The 19,338-nt window shown below is 50.1% G+C and overlaps 1 protein-coding gene across 3 annotated transcripts in view, besides 1 other annotated feature; it reads right to left on the bottom strand.

Moving 5' to 3' along the window:
- The window catches only part of NFILZ (NFIL3 like basic leucine zipper), a 50,519-nt gene that overhangs the window by 9,412 nt on the left and 21,769 nt on the right, over positions 1-19,338 (bottom strand). Inside the window, exon 1 of one of the 3 annotated variants that reach the window (NM_001378601.1) lies at positions 16,112-16,163. The exons of the other annotated variants lie outside the window; for them this stretch is intronic. The gene's annotated coding sequence lies outside the window, so the exon portion shown is untranslated. Of the gene's footprint in view, positions 1-16,111; positions 16,164-19,338 lie in introns of those variants that run through there. 3 annotated transcript variants of the gene reach the window in all.
- Positions 143-192: an enhancer, noted in NCBI's record as "active region_13924". NCBI's record gives its function as "activates an Ori minimal core promoter by ATAC-STARR-seq in GM12878 lymphoblastoid cells {active_cell/tissue: GM12878}" and the evidence as "EXISTENCE:reporter gene assay evidence [ECO:0000049][PMID:35858748]".

Genomic DNA, 19,338 nt, shown 5'->3' with positions numbered 1-19,338 from the left:
GCACATCCCGGAGCTCTGGGGCCAGCATCTAGAAAGTACCACCTTGGCTCTAGGAGAGAAGACAGAAGTGGTAGGCAAGCTCCGAGATGAACACAGCTGGGCTGGAAAGGAAGAGGAACACAGCCCAGGGGTCCCCAAGAGCCACACCAGAATCAGCAATGCCCAAGGAAGAGAAGTGAGTGTGGGCTGGTAGTCACATAAAGAAAGGACAGGCCAGAGTGACTCTGAGCAGTCAGCTCTCAGGCCACACCACTGAGATAGAGGAAAATTTGTTATCACTGTGGTCTGAGTCCTTCCCGTCTGTGGCTTGGCCTGAACCCCCCTAACCACCGCCCCCTACACCTCCACAGGAACCCAGAGGGAGATGGGGCAGCAGATAGTTCTGCTGCCCGAGTTTATTTAAAGAAAACACAGTAAGAGCTGGGCTGGGCCTTCCTGTGGTCGCAGAGGAAGTGCTAACGGAGGGTGGCGAGACAGGCAGCACTCCTTGCAGTGGCCGGAGGGGGATGAAGAAACAGGAAAAGGGTCTCTCTCAGAGATGGCCCCATCGCAGGCCAGCCCCACCCCAGCCAAGCAGCCTCCGCAGCTGCCTTGACCAGTGACATCAAAGCTCTGTTTGGTCCTCTTCTGTAACAGGGAGCTCATCCCCTCTAAAGTCACTAGAGAGAATGTTCTGCCACACCATGTGGCCTGCTCATGTGTTCAAGAGGTTCCCATGTCTGGAAATCTTTTTTTTTTTTTTTTTTTGAGACAGTCTCACTCTGTCACCCAGGCTGGAGTGCAGTGGTGCAATCTCAGCTCACTGCAACCTCCGCCTCCCAGGTTCAAGCCATTCTCCTGCCTCAGCCTCCCGAGTAGCTGGGATTACAGATGCTTGCCACCACGCCTGACTAATTTTTGTATTTTTAGTACAGACGGGGTTTTGCCATGTTGGCCACGCTGGTCTCAAACTACTGACCTCAGGTGATCCACCTGCCTCAGCCTCCCAAAGTGCTGGGATTACAGGCATGAGCCAGAGCGCCTGGCCATGTCTGGAAATCTTGACTGAGCTCAGAAAACAAACAGTAAAAGCCTTGCAGGATTCTATAGTCACCCAACCCAGCAAGAACTCCTAGTCACTGGAAGGTCTCCGGCATCCACCCCTTTGGGAAAGAGAGGATCCAATCAGACTGTATTCCAGTCTCATGGCGCCTGCCTTTTGAGTATTATTTCATCTGCTCATTCATTCATTCACTCACTCACATTTCACTCATTCTTTAATTTATTCAACTATTCATGCATTTATTGGTTCATTCCCAAAATATTCATACGTTTAATGGTTTATTCTAAAAAATATGGGGCCAGGTGCAATGGCTCACACCCATAATCCCAACACTTTGGGAGGCCAAGGTAGGTGGATCACTTGAGCCTAGGAGTTCAAGACCAGCCTGGGCAACATGATGAAACCATGTCTCTACAAAAAATACAAAAATTAGCCATGTGTGGTGGTTTCTACCTGTAGTCCCAGCTACCCAGGAGGCTGAAGTGGGAGAATCATCTGATCCCAGGAAGTCAAGGCTGCAGTGAGCTGTGATGTACCACTGCACTCCAGCCTGGGCATCAGAGTGAGACCCTGCCTCAAAAAAAAAAAAAAAGTCACCTGTCAGATTAGGTGAGCTCTCATGGTCCAAAAAGTTTTCCTGGAGTAGAGCTAGAAGCCACCTTTGCTGGACCCATCCCTGCTAGAATTCATTCTTTCCTTAACATCCGTGGAGAATCTCCCCTTCCTCTGGACCCTAGAACCCTTTGGGGATTTGAGGAATTGACACTGACATTTCCCTATTCCCACAACAGCCTGCTCTCCTCCAGGGAAAACAATTCTTGTGTATTGAGCACCTACTGTATGCCAGGTACATGGAACATCTCACTTTTCACTCACCACTACCCAGAGAGGAAAGTAAAGCACGGCTATCATCCTGATTTGACAGATCAGGAAAGCAAAGCTCTGAGAGGTCAAGTGACCTGCCTGAGGTCGCACAGCCAGAATCCAGGTACAATGGGATCCAGTACCCAAACCCTTCCTAATGCACCAGGTTAAATGTCCCCAGATACTTCCACTTGTTTCAGTGAGGACACAGTTTTGAGTTTGCATAGCACCTCTGAAGGGTAGAGGTTGGTTTCCACAGAGGAACAAAAGGGTCAAGAAACCACACAGTTAACAATACGGCAAGGCTGAGATTAGTATCCATGCTGTCAGGATGCAATGAAATAGGCAGGATTAAGAACACCTGCTTTAACTGGGTTCAAATTTTCCTCCCTAGCTAAGTGTGCCTGGGCAAGTCAGGTCACCTCTATGAGCTTCCAATGTCTCATCTGCAAAAGGGGAATAATAGCAGTACCTACCTCATTGGTTGTATAAGGAATAAATAAGGTAAGATGTGTTAAGAGCTGGTACCTGATAATAATAAATAACCCACATAGCTATTTTTCATTTATTGTTGTTAGAATCCTCTCTTGGCCAGGCTTGGTGGTTCATGCTTGTAATCCCAGCACTTTGGGAGGCCAAGGTGGGCAGATCACCTGAAGTGGGAAGTTCGAGACCAGCCTGGCCAACATGGCGAAACCCTGTCTCTACTAAAAAATACAAAAATTAGCCGGGCATGGTAGTGCACGCCTGTAGTCCCAGCTACTCGGGAGACTGAGGCAGGAGAATCACTTGAGCCTGGAGATGGAGGTTGCAGTGAGCCGAGATTGCACCACTGCACTCCAGTCTGGGTGACAGAGTGAGACTCTGTCTCAAAAAATAAAAGAATCCTCTCCCACTGGACTTCTCCGGCCACACTCTGTACTATCTGTGTTGAAAATGTCTCTGAGAACCTTCGGACATCACCCAACACAACTGTATCTGTTTACAGATGGTAAATTGACTATCCACTCGAGACCAAATACACACCAAAACCTCCCCATTCCTCCCAGACACTGAGAAATGGTGGGAAAATGCTAACTTGAACCAGAGACCAAAGCAGAGATGCCCAATGACAAGGATAAAAGTCTCCCACGCATGGAAGTGCAGAGTCCCCTAATATATAAGGTCAAAAGCATGCACGTGCAGAAGGCCCAGACCAAGGAGAAATAACCTAAAGAAGATAATGAATCTGTGGCCACTTCAAGAAATTCCCACAAACTCCCCAACTAGAAGATATTACATCTGAGGAAATAGAGAATATCAGTTTAATCTTGAAAGAGCTGTACAATGAATATGTTAGGTGACTCAGAAAGATAAAGGAAGGAATGACAACTGTCAAACAAGAACAGGAGGTTATGAAAGAAAAACATGTAGATATAAAAAGAACCAGTTAGAGCTCAGATATGAAAAGTATACCATCATTCCTCTGTATCCTCGGGTTCCATATCCATGGATTCAACCAACCACAGATTGAAAATACAGTATTTGAAAAAAATAACAAGACAACAATAAAAATAATGCAAATTTAAAATTATATATGTATATGCCGGGCACAGTCGCTCAGGCCTATAATCTCAGCACTTTGGGAGGCCAAGGCAGGCAGATCACTTGAGGCCAGGAGCTGGAGACCAGCCTAGCCAACATGGTGAAACCCTGTCTCTACTAAAAATACAAAAATTAGCTGGGTACGGTGGCACATGCCTGTAATCCCGGCTACTGGAGAGGCTGAAGCATGAGAATCACTTGAGCCTGGGAGGTGGAGGCTGAAGTAAGTCTCCACTGTCACTGCACTCCAGCCTGGGTGACAGAGCAAGACTCTGTCTCAAAAAATAAATAAATAAATAAAAATAAAATAAAAAATACATATATAGTATAACAACTATTTACATAGCATTTATATTGTATTAGTTATCATAAGTAATGTAGAGATGATTTAAAGTATATGGGAGGGCAGGGCACTGTGGCTCACGCCTATAATCCCAGTACTTTGGGAGGCCGAGGTTGGGGGATCACTTGAGGTCAGGAGTTCGAGACCAGACTGGCCAACATGGTGAAACCTCGTCTGTACTAAAAATACAAAAATTAGCCGGGTAGTGGTGGACACCTGTAATCCCAGCTACTTGGGAGGCTGAGGCAGGAGAATCACTTGAACCCGAGAGGCGGAGGTTGCAGTGAGCCGAGATCGCACCACTGCACTGCAGCCTGAGCAACAGAGCGAGACTCCATCTCAAAAAAATAAAAATATAAATAAATAAATATTTGGGAGGATATGCATAGGTTATATGCAAATACTACACCATGTTAGATTAGAAACTTGAGTATCCATGGATTTTAATATCCAAGGGAGACCCCAGAACCAATCCCCCCCAGATATCAAGGGATGACTGTAGTTCCCAGAAAATCCAAGAGATGGGTTGACTCGTAGAAGGAAAAACTGAGACCCAAAGCTGGTAAAGAATTTATCAAGGTCATATGGGGTTTTAGTGGCAGAGATGGAACTAGAGCTTGGAGCTTAGAATTTAGCAGCCCAAAACCGAGGTCTAACTCAGGAACTGAGCCCTGGAGCCACTTGTGGCTCTCTAAGGGTTGTTTGTGGTTTCCCCTCCCTCTTTCCTGTTTTCTTTTCTTTCCTTGCATTGTAAGGCTGGTGCTGAACTGGACTCCACAGTCCCTCCCTAATAAGGAATGGGGCTTCCATCCCCTGACAGGGCAGGGTGGGACAGTGGGTAGAGAGAGATGGCCAACAGCCGAGCGAGGTGGCTCACACCTGTAATGCCAACACTTTGGGAGGCCGAGGCAGGAGGAACAGTTGAACTTAGGAGTCCGAGACCAACCCGGGCAATGTGGCAAAACCCTGTCTCTACAAAAAAAAAAAAAAAAAAGTTTTCAAAAATTAGCCGGGCATGGTGGTGTGCACCTCTGGTCCCAGCTACTTGGGAAGCTGAAGTGGGAGGATCACCTGAGCCTGGGGAGGTCGAGGCTGTAGTGAGCTGTGATCACACCACTGCACTCTAGCCTGGGCAACAGAGTGAGATTCTGTCTCAAAAAAGGAGAGAGAGATTGACAGAAAGAGAAAGATAAATGGCCAACCCTCTGCTCCTAAATTAGAATTTAATAAAATCTTAATGTCATAAGAGTAATTTATTGAGTGAAACTAAGAGAAATAGCCAATATTGGCCATGGGATACTGACTGAGTGACTTAACCTCTCTAAGCCTCAGCTCCTCATCTATAAAAGGGGTTCAAGGTTATCATCATAGGCAGATGTTGTGAGAACTAAAATGGTAAGATGTGTCTATAAGATATAAGATACCTGGCATAGGCTGGGCACGGTGGCGCACACCTGTCATCTCACACTTTGGGAGGCTGAGACAGGTGGATCGCTTGAGCCTAGGAGTTCAAGACCAGCCTGGGCAACATAGTGAGACCTTGTCTCTACAAAAAAATCAAAAAAAAAAATGAAGCAGGAGGTTGCTTGAGCCCAGGAGGTCAAGGTTGCAATGAGCTGTGATGGCACCACTGCACTCCCACCTGGATGATAGGAGTGACACCCTGTCTCAAAAATAAGAAGAAGAAGAAGATACTCAGCATATCAGCATAGTCTCCTATGAAGACTTGGGGAGTCTTCCTGTGGTTTGCCAACCCTCTTTTTTGAGCCCAAAGACACCCCAGATGAAGATGAAGCTACAGTTACCAGAAGACTCAGAGGCCAACAGAGTACAGAGAAGTTTAAAAGGACAAAAAAAAAAAGGTGAGAAAAAGAAAGATGAATCAAAGGAGAAGGGAGGAGGCTGCCTCACAAATTCCTCCACCCATGTGGCCAGAGGGTAGCCCACAAGCTTTTCTTTTGCTCTAAGAGAGGAGCTAAAAATGACTGCAAACTCTCCAGCGAGTGTAAGATTTCTTAACACTCAGGCAAAAGGTAGCATTTGCCAGGCCAATGCATGTCTGGAGAAATTGTTTAGGCATGTCGCTTACAAGGGAAATACTCATTTGTTTTCATTTACATGAGATACCAATTTTTCCTGCCGAAATTGGCAAAGATTTCTTAAAAACAATAAAACCTAATGCTAGCAAGGATGCAGTAAGATGGGCACTTGTGTACCTAGAAGGTATACCTTGCTTCCTGGCAAAGCAATTGAGAAATGTGAAATGAGTCAGGCATGAAGGCTCATGCCTGTAATTCCAGCACTTTGGGAGGCTGAGGTGAGAGGATCACTTGAAGCCAGGAGCTGGAGACCAGCCTGGGCAACATAGCAAGACCCCATCTCTCTTAAAAAAATGTTTAAGAAATACAAAACAAATTTGGACTCATACCCTGTTTGAAGAATGAGGGTATTGTTTTTCTGCTACCTGGGTCACTGCTCCAGGCTTTTCTCTATCCCTTTTCTGGCCTTAGTACCCCCTTAGCCCTCCTCAAACACACCACTCCAGCCACGTAGACCATTTTTTACTTCATGAAAGAATGGTCCCTCACCTCCACATAATGTTTCTTCTGCCTGAAGCATTCTTCCCTCACCTCTTCCCTAAGCCAAATCATATTTGTCCTTTAAGACACAGCTTAGATGCTACCTCCTACAGGAAGCCCACCAAATTGATTCCTCTCAGATAGGCCAGAAGCGCCTTCTAGGTTCCCAGGACCCAGTGGGATTCCACCATTGCTGCAGCAATCTCTCTGGGTCTGCCCCTGTGTCCACACATCTCCTGAATAGACAGTCGAATAAATATAAGAGTGTGAGATATTTGGAGAAGGGGGTGTGCTCCGTGTGGTCCAGAAAGCTAGGTAAGGACCACAGAGAGAGGGATGAAGGTGCAGTTTTGAACCAGCATCTGAAAGGATTTTGTAAGAATTCCAGCTCACTAACCAAGCAAGGTTGCCTTGATAGGTAATGAGCTGCCCGTCACAGGGGGTGTGCAAGCAGGGAGTTGGAGACTACTTCTCTAGGTCCAGCTCTCTGCCTTCTCCACCCCTCCTGCCCAGACTTGGGGGGCCTGAGATGAGGAAATTGCTTTCCTCCCCAAGCTGGCTTTCCTCTGACTCAAAAGTCTGCCCAAGGAGAACCAGGGACCCATAGAGGCTATTCCCACGGCCCTGGGCAGCCCAGCCCAGGTTTCTCGGAAGGGCCACATTTCCACGGGGTTCAGGGAACCCAATGGAACCTCGGGGCCCTGCACTCTCAATCTGATGGAGCCCCTGCCTCATAAAAGCCCCCAGCGAAACCGATCTCTAAAACCGAGACGCTTCTGTGGGAACTCAGTCTTCAAGGGGAAAATGCAAGGCACCCTGGGAGCCGTGGCCCGCCCTCCCCCTCCCCCGGCACCTCCTGAGCCTCAGGGGAAGAGACCGGAAGCCGTTGGTATCTCCCGTGCCCAGCCCACAAGCCCATCTGGGGTCCCGAGTGCCAGGAACAGGCTGATGGGCAGGAAGTGGGGGGTGGGCAGGGGTGTCCAGAGCCGGTGAGGCCAAGGACCCAGTCCCTGCTCTGCCAAAGACACACTTGGACAAGTGACTCCTCTTTCCTGAGCCTCAGTTCTTTGAACTGTGAAATGGGCACAGGTTTGCAGCAAAGGCTGAACAGGTAACCCGGTACATACATTGTTCACCAACATAACAGATACTCAGTTCTTGGACACCCGAGCTCCAAGGGAGGCTCACCAGGGCTCACGGGGTCTGATGTGACGTCAGGGCTGTTATGCATGGATGCCGTGCAGTGGAAATTCACTTCCTTAAACTCACTCCCAGCAAAATTCATCTCGGTCTTGGAGCCCACAGTCTCTGGCCCAACGGGCCCCTCAGGTTCTGCCTTTCCCTCTCTGCAGGGCACTGGCCTCAGTCACCACACAGCCTCAAAGGAAGGAAGCTCAGAGGCACCTCGTGTCCATCCAAGGCCAAGCCCCAGCTCCCACTAAAACGCCAGCCAGGAGGGTCTCTCTTCGAGGCACCTGAGTCCCTACATCCCCCAGAGCAGGTGGCTGGACCCCACTCAGGCCACCAAGTCCCCCCCACAACAAACACACATACATACACACACACACACACACACACACACACACACACACACACACACACACAAACACACACACACACCACACCTTGTTAATTCTACGCTGAGCCCAGGAGATTGTGACTCCCAGCTGGCTTCACCCCAAACTCAGCATTCGTGGGACATTTACCTCCCAACGCCCGCGAGCATCAAATACTCAACGTGGCCAAAACCCAGCAAGTGATGTGCCTCACCACCAGCGCCCCCTCCACCTTCCCCATCTCAGTTCATGGCAGTTCCACCCCTCCCCACCACCAGCGTCCCCTCCACCTTCCCCATCTCAGTTCATGGCAGTTCCACCCCTCCCCACCACCAGCTCCCCCTCCACCTTCCCCACCTCAGTTCATGGCAGTTCCATCCCCCACTGCCACCAGCCCTGCAAGTGCTCAGGCCAAAACCCCTACTTTTGTCCTCTGCTCCTCTTTTTCTCTCACCCCCAAATCTGAGCCCAACTCAGGAAACTACTGGCTTCACCTTCAAAAATTGCCATAGAGGCCAGGCACAGTGGATCATGCCTGTAATCCCAGCACCTTGGGAGGCCAAGACTAGAGGATCACTTAGGGCCAGGAGTTCAAAACCAGCCTGAGCAACATAGCAAGACCCCATCTCTTAAAAAAGCAAAAAACAAAACAAAACAAAACCCAGGCATGGTGACACATGCCTGTAGTCCCAGCTACTTAGGAGGCTGAGGCGTGAGGATCGCTTGAGCCCAGGAGGTCAAGGTTGCAGTCTGCTATAATCTCACCACTGCACACCAGCCCTGGCAACAAAGTGAGACGCTGTCTCTTAAAAAAAAAAAAGGAAAAAGAAAAAGAAAAATTTAGGCCAGGCACGGTGGCTCATGCATGTAATCCCAGCATTTTGGGAGGCAGACGGATCAAGAGGTCAGGAGTTGAAGACCAACCTGGCCAACACAGTGAAACCCCATGTCTACTAAAAATGCAAAAATTAGCTGGGCATGGTGGCGGGTGCCTGTAATCCCAGCTACTCAGGAGGCTGAGGCAGGATAACTGCTTGAACCCAGGAGGCGGAGGTTGCAGTGAGCCAAGATCGTGTCACTGCACACCAGACTGGCAACAGAGAAAGACTCCATCTCAAAAAAAAAAAAAAAGGAAGAAAAGGAAAACTTCATCTAAGATCCTTCCACCTGCCACCTCTCTTGGACTCTTCTCCTCACGTAACTGGACAACTGCAACATCCCCTCCCACACTCACTCACTCACTCCACTCCAGCCGCATGGGCCTCCTCCGTGTTCCTCCAACACCCCAATGCAGTCCTGCCTCAGGGTCTTTGCACAGGCTGTTCCCTCTGCCAGGAATGCTGTTCCCCAGACACTCACATCGCTCCTCCCTCACCTCCTTTAGGTCTTTCTCCTCCAATGTCACCTCCTCAGCAAGCCTCCCCTGACCCCCAGCCTAAACAGCCACCCACACATTCACACACACTCACATACTTACACACTTACACACTCACTTTCTCTCCTTATTCTGCTTATTCCAGACACTTTTGCTCCCCTCCTTTACTTTTTCACCTTTTTTTTTTTTTTTAAGACAGAGTCTTGCTCTGTCACCCAGGCCTGAGTGTTGTGGTGCAATCATGGCTCACTGCAGCCTCACCCTCCTGTGTTCAAGCAATCCTCCTGTCTCAGCCTTCCAAGTAGCCGGGACTACAGGCATGTGCCACCACACCTGGCCAGTTTTTTTTATTTTTATTTTGTAGAGACTGGGTCTTGCTACGTTGCCCAGGCTGCTCTCCAATTCCTAGCCTCAGTGGACCCTCCTTCCTCAGTTTCCCAAAGCACTGGGATTACAGGTGTGAACCACCTCGCCTGGCCTATTTTACTGTATCTTTTGTTTGTTTGTGTTTTGAGACAGAATCTCACTCTGTCGCCCAGGCTGGATTACAGTGGCGCGATCTCTGCTTGCTGCAACCTCTGGGTTCAAGCGATTCTCCTGCCTCAGCCTCCCGGGTAGCTGGGATTACAGACGCACGCCACCATGCCTGGCTAATTTTTGTATTTTTAGTAGAAACAAGGTTTCACGATGTTGGCCAGGCTGGTCTCGAACTCCTGACCTCAAATGATCCACCCTCCTCGGACTCCCAAAGTGTTGGGATTACAGGCATGAGCCACTGTGCCCTGGTTTCTTATTTTTAATTGACAAATAATAATTGCAGATATTTGTGGAGTATGATGTGAGGCTTTGATGTATGTGTACTGTGTGGAATGATTAAACCAGGCTCGTTAACAAACCCATCAGCTCATACACTTATTGAAATCAGTATGAAGAGGTACTGGCACTCCAGGCACTATTCACAATAGCACAGATATGGAAGCAATTTAAGTGACCACGGATGGATGAAGTGATAAAGAAAATATGGTATAAGCCTGGGCGAAACCCATCTCTACAAAAAATACAAAAAACTAGCCAGGCGTGGTGGTGCATGCCTGTAGTTCCAACTACTTGGGAGGCTGAGGTGGGAGGATTGCTTGAACCCAGGAGGTCGAGGCTGCAGTGAGCTATGATTGCATCACTGCACTGCAGCCTGGGTGACAGAGAAAAAGAAAGGAGGAAAGAAAAAAAGAGAGAGAGAGAGAAAAGGGAAGGGAAAAAGGAAGAAGGAAGGGAGGGAAGGAAGGAAGGAAGGAAGGAGGAAGGGAGGGAGGGGGAAGGAAGGGAGGGAGGGGGAAGGAAGGGAGGGAGGGGGACGGAAGGGAGGGAGAGGGAGGGAGGAAAGAAAGGGAAGGGAAAGGAAGGAAGGAAAAGGGAGGGAAAGAAAGCAAGAAAGGAGGGAGGGAGGGAGGAAGGAAGGAGGGCAGGTATGGTGGCTCACACCTGTAATCCCAGCACTTTGGGAGGCTGAGGCGGGCAGGTACCCTGAGGTCAGGAGTTTAAGACCAGCCTGGCCAACATGATGAAACCCTGTCTCTACTAAAAATACAAAAAAATTAACCAGGCATGGTGGTGGGCACCTGTAATCCCAGCTACTCAGGAGGCTGAGGCAGGAGAATCGCTTGAACCTGGGAGGTGGAGCTTGCAGTGAGCCGAGACTGCACCATCGAACTCCAACCTGGGCAACAAGAGCAAAACTCCATCTTAAAAAAAAAAAAAAGTAAGGGAGGGAGGGAAGAGGGAAGGAGAGAAGGAAGGAGGGAAGGAAGGAAGGAAGGAGGGAGGGAGGGGAGGAAGGAAGGAAGGAGAGAAGGAAAGAAGGAAGGAAGGAAATGTGATATGTATACACAATTCAATACTACTTAGCCTTGAAAAGCAAGGAAAATCCTGCCATTTGAGACAACGTGGATGAACTTCCTTACTTTATCATTACCGATGGTCGTATTTGCTTGGTGTATGTCTCTGCCGCTAGAACACCAGCCCCCGAGAACAGGGACCATTCCCCCTCTGTGTCTACAGTGCCCAAAACAGCACCTGACACACAGTAGGTGCTTAATAACTGTTTGTTGAATGAAGGAATGTAAACAATGTTGTTTAATTCTCACAACACCCTTGGGAGACTCCACATCTCTTTTTCCCCCGGAGGCCCAGAGAGATGCACCGACTTGCCTAGGGTCACACAGCTAGTCACAGGTGGGTTTGGTGCCTGGGCAGCCGGAGCCCAGGGCCTACCCTGCCAAGCCTGAGATGTGGCCTGAACTGTGAGCAGGTCCCAAAAGCGCCTTTGATGCCAAGACACAGCTCCTCTGGGACCTCCCACAGGGCAGTGGCCGGTGTTGTAGCTCAGGACTGGGTGCTCATGAGGCCCCAGGGCCTCAGTCTCCCTTCTGTGAAACGGGCCCAGGAGTTCACTGAAAGAAGTGTCTTCCGGCCCTTGGAGCCCTCCCCCCACCACCCTAGAGGTGGCCGTCCTTCCCCCATCTCCGAAACTATGCTCAAAACAGGGAAATTCTTCTTTTCCACCCCCTCACCCCAAGCCTAGAATATACCATGGGCTCCTGGAAACAGGCCAGAGCTTCATCCGTGGGGACTCAGAGGGCACGAATTGGAGCCTGTGACACCTCTGGGTCCCCAAAATACCCGTTGGCATCATCCAACTCATTTCTGAGTCCCTTACACTGCCTATGCTAAGCACTTCACAGACACTATCTGCTGGAGGGATCTTTTTACCATGCATATCAGATTATGCTACTTTCCTGCTTAAAACCTTTAACGGATCAAGACTGCACTCTCTTCCCCCACTCACAGGGCCTGGGAGATCCAGATGGAGCGTATCCTGACCCTACTCCAGCCACACTGGCCTTCCCACCATTCGGAGTCACCGCAGGGCCTCGGCACCTGCAGCTCCAGTGCCTGCAACGCTCTTCCTCCTCTCCCCTAATTCCTCTATCCCCCTCCTCTGATCACATATTCTCTGGGAAGCCCTCTCCGACCTACCAGACTAAGTCAGGTGCTTCTGCTTCTCAGCGTTTAGTATTGTTGCGATTTTACAGGTATCTGTGTAATTATTTCATTAATGTCTCTTTCTTTTTAAAAAAAAATTTTTTTTTTTTGAGATGGAGTCTCCCTCTGTCACCCAGGCTGGAGTGCCCTGGTGTGATCTCGGCTCACTGCCATCTCCGCCTTCTCAGGTGCAAGTGATTCTCCTGCCTCAGCCTCCCGAGTAGCTGGGATCACAGGCACACACCACTACACCTGGCTAATTTTTTGTATTTTTAGTAGAGACAGGGTTTTACCATGTTGGCCAGGCCGGTCTCGAAATCCTGACCTCAGGTGATCCACCCAGCTTGGCCTCCCAAAGTTCTGGGATTACAGGCATGAGCCACGGCAACCAGCCTTTAAATTTTTTTAGAGAGAGGGTCTTGCTCTGTCACCCAGGCTGGAGTGCAGTGGTGCAATCATACCTCACTGCAGCCTCGACCTCCTGGGCTCAAACGATCCTCCCACCTCAGCCTCCTGAACAGCTGGAAATACAGGCATGAGCCACTGCGCCCAGCAACTAACGTCTCTCTTTCTTTCATGACGCCACTGCCTGTCTTTCTTCCTCGTGGTATATCCTCACTGTGGGGGCTGGCATATAGTAGATGCTTAATAAATACTTGTTGAATGAATGAATGAATGAATGAATGAATGAATAGAATCCTCTCATCACCCCAGACTCTGATTTGATAGGTGAGGAGAATGAAGCTTGTTCACTTAAGGTCACACCAGAAATCCTCACTTGTCCTGTGCAGCTCCCACCCCAGTCCCCCCAGGCAGCCTCCCACTCTCGGCCCCACTTCCAACTTTAGGACAATGGTTCTAAACCCAGGGGAAAGTTGTCAATGTTTTTTGTTATCCTCACTTGGGAAGTGCTACTGGCCCCTGGTGGGTAGAGACCAGGTGCCCCTACTGGTCTCTAAATATTTACGCTGCTGAATATCCTACAATGCACAACGCAGCCCCCCAAGACAAAAGACTGCCTGGCCCCAAATATCAATAGGGCATGGTGGAGAACCCCAGCTGTAGGGGAAGTGCCCGCAGCTGAGCCTGTTAGGAAGATGTGCACCCCAAAGAGGCTTGGGCCCAGGAGCTCCCGGCTCGGAAGTGGTGGTTGTAACACCAAATCATCCTGCTACCTCTTGATCATTCTGTTTCAGGCACGCAGGCCTCCTTGCTCTTCCCTCAACACACCAGGCACTGTCCTGCCTCAGGGCCTTTGCACATGCTGGCTGTGCCCTCTGCCTGGAATGCTCCTGCCAGATATCTGCATGGCTGGTCCTCTCTCCCAATGCCTGTAACCCTCTCTGTTCCCCCCTCGCCAGGGAGAGTCCCTGCACCCACCCAAGACCGCCAGTCCTGCCAAACCCACCAAGCCCCTCAGCCTCAGCCTTGAAGTTTGAGAACAAGGTCAGAATGGGGTGTGGTCTCTGAGACCCAAACATCTAGCTCTTTTGGCCCATGTGAGCCAGTGATTCCCACCCCCAGGGCTGATCACAGGTGGTGGGGAAAATGAGGGGTGTCCTGCCTCCTCTCCCCGTCTGAGCAGGGCTGAGAGCCCCCCAGAAACCTGCTGCAGTCAGACACTGGCCTCACCGTAATTATTCCAATGATTCCTCAACAAATCTTTGAATGAAAGCACGGTGTGGAGGGACAGAGAAAGAGGTAGAGACGGAGAGAGATTTACAGTGAGAGAGGACTGTCACTCACCCACTAACTACAATCCCACACACAGCGATCAGACTCCAGCAGACAACAGCTGGAGGTCTGTGTCCCTAACTTGCCTGCAACAAATACTCCCAACCCCTTAGCAACTGTCACTCACAGCAGTCACGTCCCCGCAACCATCAATCTTAAAGCAACAGGACCCTGCAGCAGCCAGAGTCCCCAACGACCCCCTGCAGACAAAAGCAATCGCCAGGCCAGGCGCGGTGGCTGACGCCTGTAATCCCAGCACTTTGGGAGGCCGAGACGGGTGGATCACGAGGTCAGGAGATCGAGACCATCCTGGCCAACATGATGAAACCCCCCTCTCTACAAAAAAAAAATTAGCTGGGTGTGGTGGCGCGTGCCTGTAACCCCAGCTACTCAGGAGGCTGAGCCGAGCCGAGATCATACCACTGTACTCCAGCCTGGTGACAGAGTGAGACTCCGTCTCAAAAAAAAAAAGCAATCGCCAATCTCCACAGATTTGGACCTCCCACCGGAGCGAAAACCGCCCCCCTCCACAAAACCACCCCAGACAGGCACAGGAACAAGACTCCTTTCAACAGCAGAGCCCCCAGAATACTGCACCCCAAATCCTTACAACAACTGGATCCCCTCAATAGTCAAACGCCAACCACAGACAACCCCCAGGACAAAGACCTTCAGCACGGTGACTGGACCCACCTAACCACCAGATTTACAGAGCCAAGCTGGACTCCCCCACCTCCCCTGGAGCAGGTCCCAAGAATAAGGACCCCTACAGCCACACAACAGCCAGACCCTCCCTGGTGCATGAGGCATCATCTTTGGAGACCTCCAGACCCCCCTTCAGTTCCCTGCTACACACACACAGGTGTTGCCACCCATAGGGGCCCAGGATTAGCTGCTTTGCAGAAGTGCAAGGAGGCCATGCTCTTCCATTCACCTAGCACAGGCCTGGGCGCAGCAGGGAAACATTGGGCGGCGGCAGCTGTGCTGTGTGGGGAGCAGGGCCAGGTACGGGGGCTGCACCCGTAGAAGTAAAAAGGCAGGACAGGAGGTTGGAGCCAGGTGGGAAAACAAGCGGGGAGAAGGGGAGCTTCAGAGAGAAGGTGGGCTGCAGGAGAAGGTGGGCTGCGGGAGAAGGTGGGCTGCGGGAGAAGGTGGGCTTCAGAGAGAAGGTGGGCTTCGAGGAGAAGGTGGGCTGCGGAAAGAGGTGGGTTTCAGAGAGAAGGTGGGCTGCGGGAGAAGGTGGGCTTCAGGGAGAAGGTGGGCTTCAGGGAAGAGGTGGGCTTCAGGAAGAAGGGGGCTTCAGGGAGGAGGTGCGCTGCGGGAGGAGGTGGGCTGTGGGGAGAAGGTGGGCTTCAGAGAGAAGATGGGCTGCGTGGAGAAGGCAGGAGGGTTTCTGGGAGAAGGTGGGCTGCAGGGAGAACACTGGCTTTGTGCACAAGGTGGGCTGTAGGGAGAACGTGGCTATGGAGGGCCTTCTCAGATGGAGGCAGCATGGGGTTCTGCAGCCTGGTGCTCCCTCCTCCTTCCTGGGCAGTGCCTGGTGGTCCCCCTTAGGGACCGGGTCAGAGTAAGCCAATGAGGAAGAGAACCTCGGAGAGGGTAGAACCTGTTCTCCCCACCCTGAGAGCAGGGCTTGGATGGGGCAGCAGAGACAGGGACAGGCAGAGACACAGAGAGAGACAGAGACTCAAACGGAGACAGAGACCCCCCCTGAACCAGAGACCCAGGGAGAGAGAGGGCCAGAGACAGCGAGAGAGACATGGGGAGACACAGAGAGAGAAAGAGACACAGCATGGAGAGCTCCAAGACAGTGAACAAGACCCAGAGAGAGACAGCGCCAGAGAGAAAGGACAGAGTTGAGAGGGTGGAGGGGACAGAGATGGGGAGACAGAGTCAGAGAGAGGGCCTGAGACAGGCAGGGGGCAGCAGCTGGGTGTGGGGTCCCTGAATGTCCTCCAGCCCCCTGAACGGGCCAGCCCAGCATGCCGTCCTCACCTGCTCTGGACGCTGTCTCCCCGGTGAGTCCCACGTGAGCCTCATCAGCCTTGTGGAACCTCCCGCGGTGGAGGTAGTCACCGGCGCTTCCGTAAAGGTGACACCCGGGCCCCCAGCCTGAAGCTTGTGGCTTTCCCTCCAGGGGTGTCCCCGCACCTGGTGTCTGCCCAGGGAGCAGGTGCTGTGGGATGGCCCAGACTCAGGGACATCACTGGAGAGTAAACAGCCCCACCAGGAGGGTACAGGGGGAGGAAGACCTGCTTGTCCAGCCCCTGGGAGCCCAGTAAGTGGAGTCTGAGCTGGCCACAGCTAAAGTCTCCCATTCCAACCCCGTAAGGCCCTTCTAGAAAGATCCAGGGGCAAAGGGAAGGAGGCTCTGTCCTTCCTTACATCTGAGGACACTCTCCTGCTCAAACACCCTCTATGGCTCCCCATTGCCTTTCAGATTGTCTAATTCCTGGCCCTGAACTTTTCTTGGACAAAGCCTCTCTGTCCAGCCTCTGCATCAGGGGAAACTGAGGCATGGAGCAATTAAGTGGTATGCCCCCAGGAAGAAGTGGAGCTAAGTACTATATGAGTTTTCTAATGAAAGGGCATCCCAGGCAGAAGGAGCAGCAAAGGCCCAGAGGTAAGAGTCGGCAGGAACCTGTCCCAGGAACCCAACAGGAAGTGGAGGAATGTGGTCAGAACTGCTTATAGGAAAATTTCTGCAAGTGGCTGCGGGGTTGACTGGACTCCAGGGGCAGAGTGGGAGCCTTGCGATGAGGGAGGAGGCCGAGCCACGCTGCAGATTGGAAAAGGAGACGTCCTGAGGTGCGACCCCGAGGCGGGGCTGGGGTTGAGATTCACCCTGCAGAGTCGCTGAGCCGGCCTAGGCTTGGGAGCAGCGGCACCTGGTGGGCGCTGTATGGAACTGCACCCTCCTTCATTGGTTGATTCAACAGATATTTATTTCTTTTTCTTTTTCTTTTAATTTTTCTTTTTTATTCTATTTTTTAATAAATATTTTTTGAGGCAAGGCTCGCTTTCTCTGTCACCCAGGCTGGAGTTCAGTGGCGCCAACACAGCTCACTGCAGCCTCGACCTCCTGGGCTCAAGTGATCTTCCCACCTCAGCCTCCCTAGTAGCTGGGATTACAGATGTGTGCCACCGTGCCTGGCTAATTTTCTGGTTTGTAGAGATGGGACCTCGCCATGTTGCCCAGGCTGGTCTCGAACTCCTGGGCTCAAACAATCCTCCCGCCTTGGCTTCCCAAAGTGCTGGGATTACAGGCATAAGCCACCACTGCCAGCCATAATTTTTTTTTTTTTCAGTAGCTTTTGGGGTAAAAGTGGTTTTTGTTTTTGGTTTTTGGTTTTTTGGTTTGTTTGTTTGTTTGTTTTTGTTTGTTTGTTTTGAGACAGAATTTCACTCTTGTTGCCCAGGCTGGAGTGCAATGAGACGACCTCAGCTCACTGCAACCTCCACCACCTAGGTTCAAGTGATTCTCCTGCCTCAGCCTCCGGATTAGCTGGGACTACAGGCACCTGCCACCATGCTCAGCTAATTTTTTTGTGTTTTTAGTACAGACAGGGTTTCACCATGCTGGCCAGGCTGGTTCTCAAACTCCTGACCTCAGGTGATCCACCTGCCTTGGCCTCCCAAAATGCTGGGATTACAAGTGTAAGCCACCACGCCTGGCCTGGTGTTGATTACATGGATGAATTGTTTAGCGGTGAAGTCTGAGATTTTAGAGCACCCGTCACCTGAAAATGTACACTGTACCCAACATGTAGCCTTTTATCCCTCATCCGCCTCCCAACCTTTCCCACCCCAAGGGCCTGAAATCCATGATGCCATTCTATGCGTTTGCATCCTCATAGCTTAGCTCCCACTTATAAGTGAGAACACACGGTATTTGGTTTTCCATTCCAGAATTACTTCACTTAGAATAATGGCCCTAGCTCCATCCAAATTGCTGCGAAACACATTATTTCATTCTTTTCATGGCTGAATAATATTCCATGATGTATATATACCACGTTTTCTTTATCCACTCATTGATTGATGGCCACACCGGTTGGTTCCATATCTTTGCAATTGTGAATTGTGCTGGAAAAAACATGCGTGCAGTTGAACATTTATTTCGAGCAGCGTTCCTGGTGTATTTGACACCAGCTGGGATCATTTTTCAATTTCTCCTCTCTATAAAATAGACTCATCTTCAGCAATAATCATGAAATAAAACAATAACCATGAAATAAATGCAGGCCAGGCGCAGTAGCTCATGCCTGTAATCTCAGCAATTTGGGAGGCCAAGGTGGGCAGATCAACTGAGATCAGGAGTTCGAGGCCAGACTGGCCAACATGGCGAATCCCTGTCTCTACTAAAGATGCAAAAATTAGCTGGGTGTGGTGGTGCGTGCCTATAATCCCAGCTACTTGGGAGGCTGAGGCAGGAGAATCACTTAAATTGGGAGGCGAAGGTTGCAGTGAGCCAAGATCGCACCATTGCGCTCCAGCCTGGGCAACAAGAGCAAAACTCTGAGAAAGAGAAAAGAAAGAAAGAGAGAGAGAGAGAGAGAGAGAGAGAGAGAGAGAGAGAGAGAGAAAGAAAGAAAGAAAGAAAGAAAGAAAGGAAGGAAGGAAGGAAGGAAGGAAGGAAGGAAGGAAGGAAGGAGGGAAGGAAGGGAAAGAAAGAGAGAGAAAGAGAGAAAGAGAGAGAGAAGAGAGAGAGAGAAGGAGGGAGGGAAAGAAAGGAAGGAAGGAGGGGGAAGAAAGTAAGAAAAGAAAGAAAAGGAAAGAAAGAAAGAGAAAGTGAGAAAGAAGAGAGAGAGAGAAGGAGGGAGGGAAAGAAAGAAAGAAAAGAAAGAAAGGAAAAAAAGAAAGAAAGAAATGCAGACACTGAAAATTTGGTTAATGTCTGATATAATCGTATTTTATGTAAATAATTGTCCAATAACTAAGGGAACTTTAATAAAACCGAAATATCTGCAAGCAGCGCAATTCCAGCAAGTCACTAAATCAATGGTGTAAAGACTGATGTAAAATGATGTAACATTTTATTTTCTTGCCTCATTCTTTAGCGTGAAAACAATGAACAAATTTTAAAGCGTAAGTTGCCATTTTAAAGATATCATTCGAATTCGGCACTAGAGTTCATGTATGAACTAAAATTTACACTTGCAAACATCTACACCTAACGGTTTGCAATGCTCCGCTGGTTTCAATACAAATAAAATCTCCCA

Source organism: Homo sapiens, chromosome 19 (assembly GCF_000001405.40).
Source record: "Homo sapiens chromosome 19, GRCh38.p14 Primary Assembly".
In the NCBI taxonomy this organism is placed as follows: Eukaryota; Metazoa; Chordata; class Mammalia; order Primates; family Hominidae; genus Homo; species Homo sapiens.
This window is presented reverse-complemented; position numbering and strand designations above follow the sequence as displayed.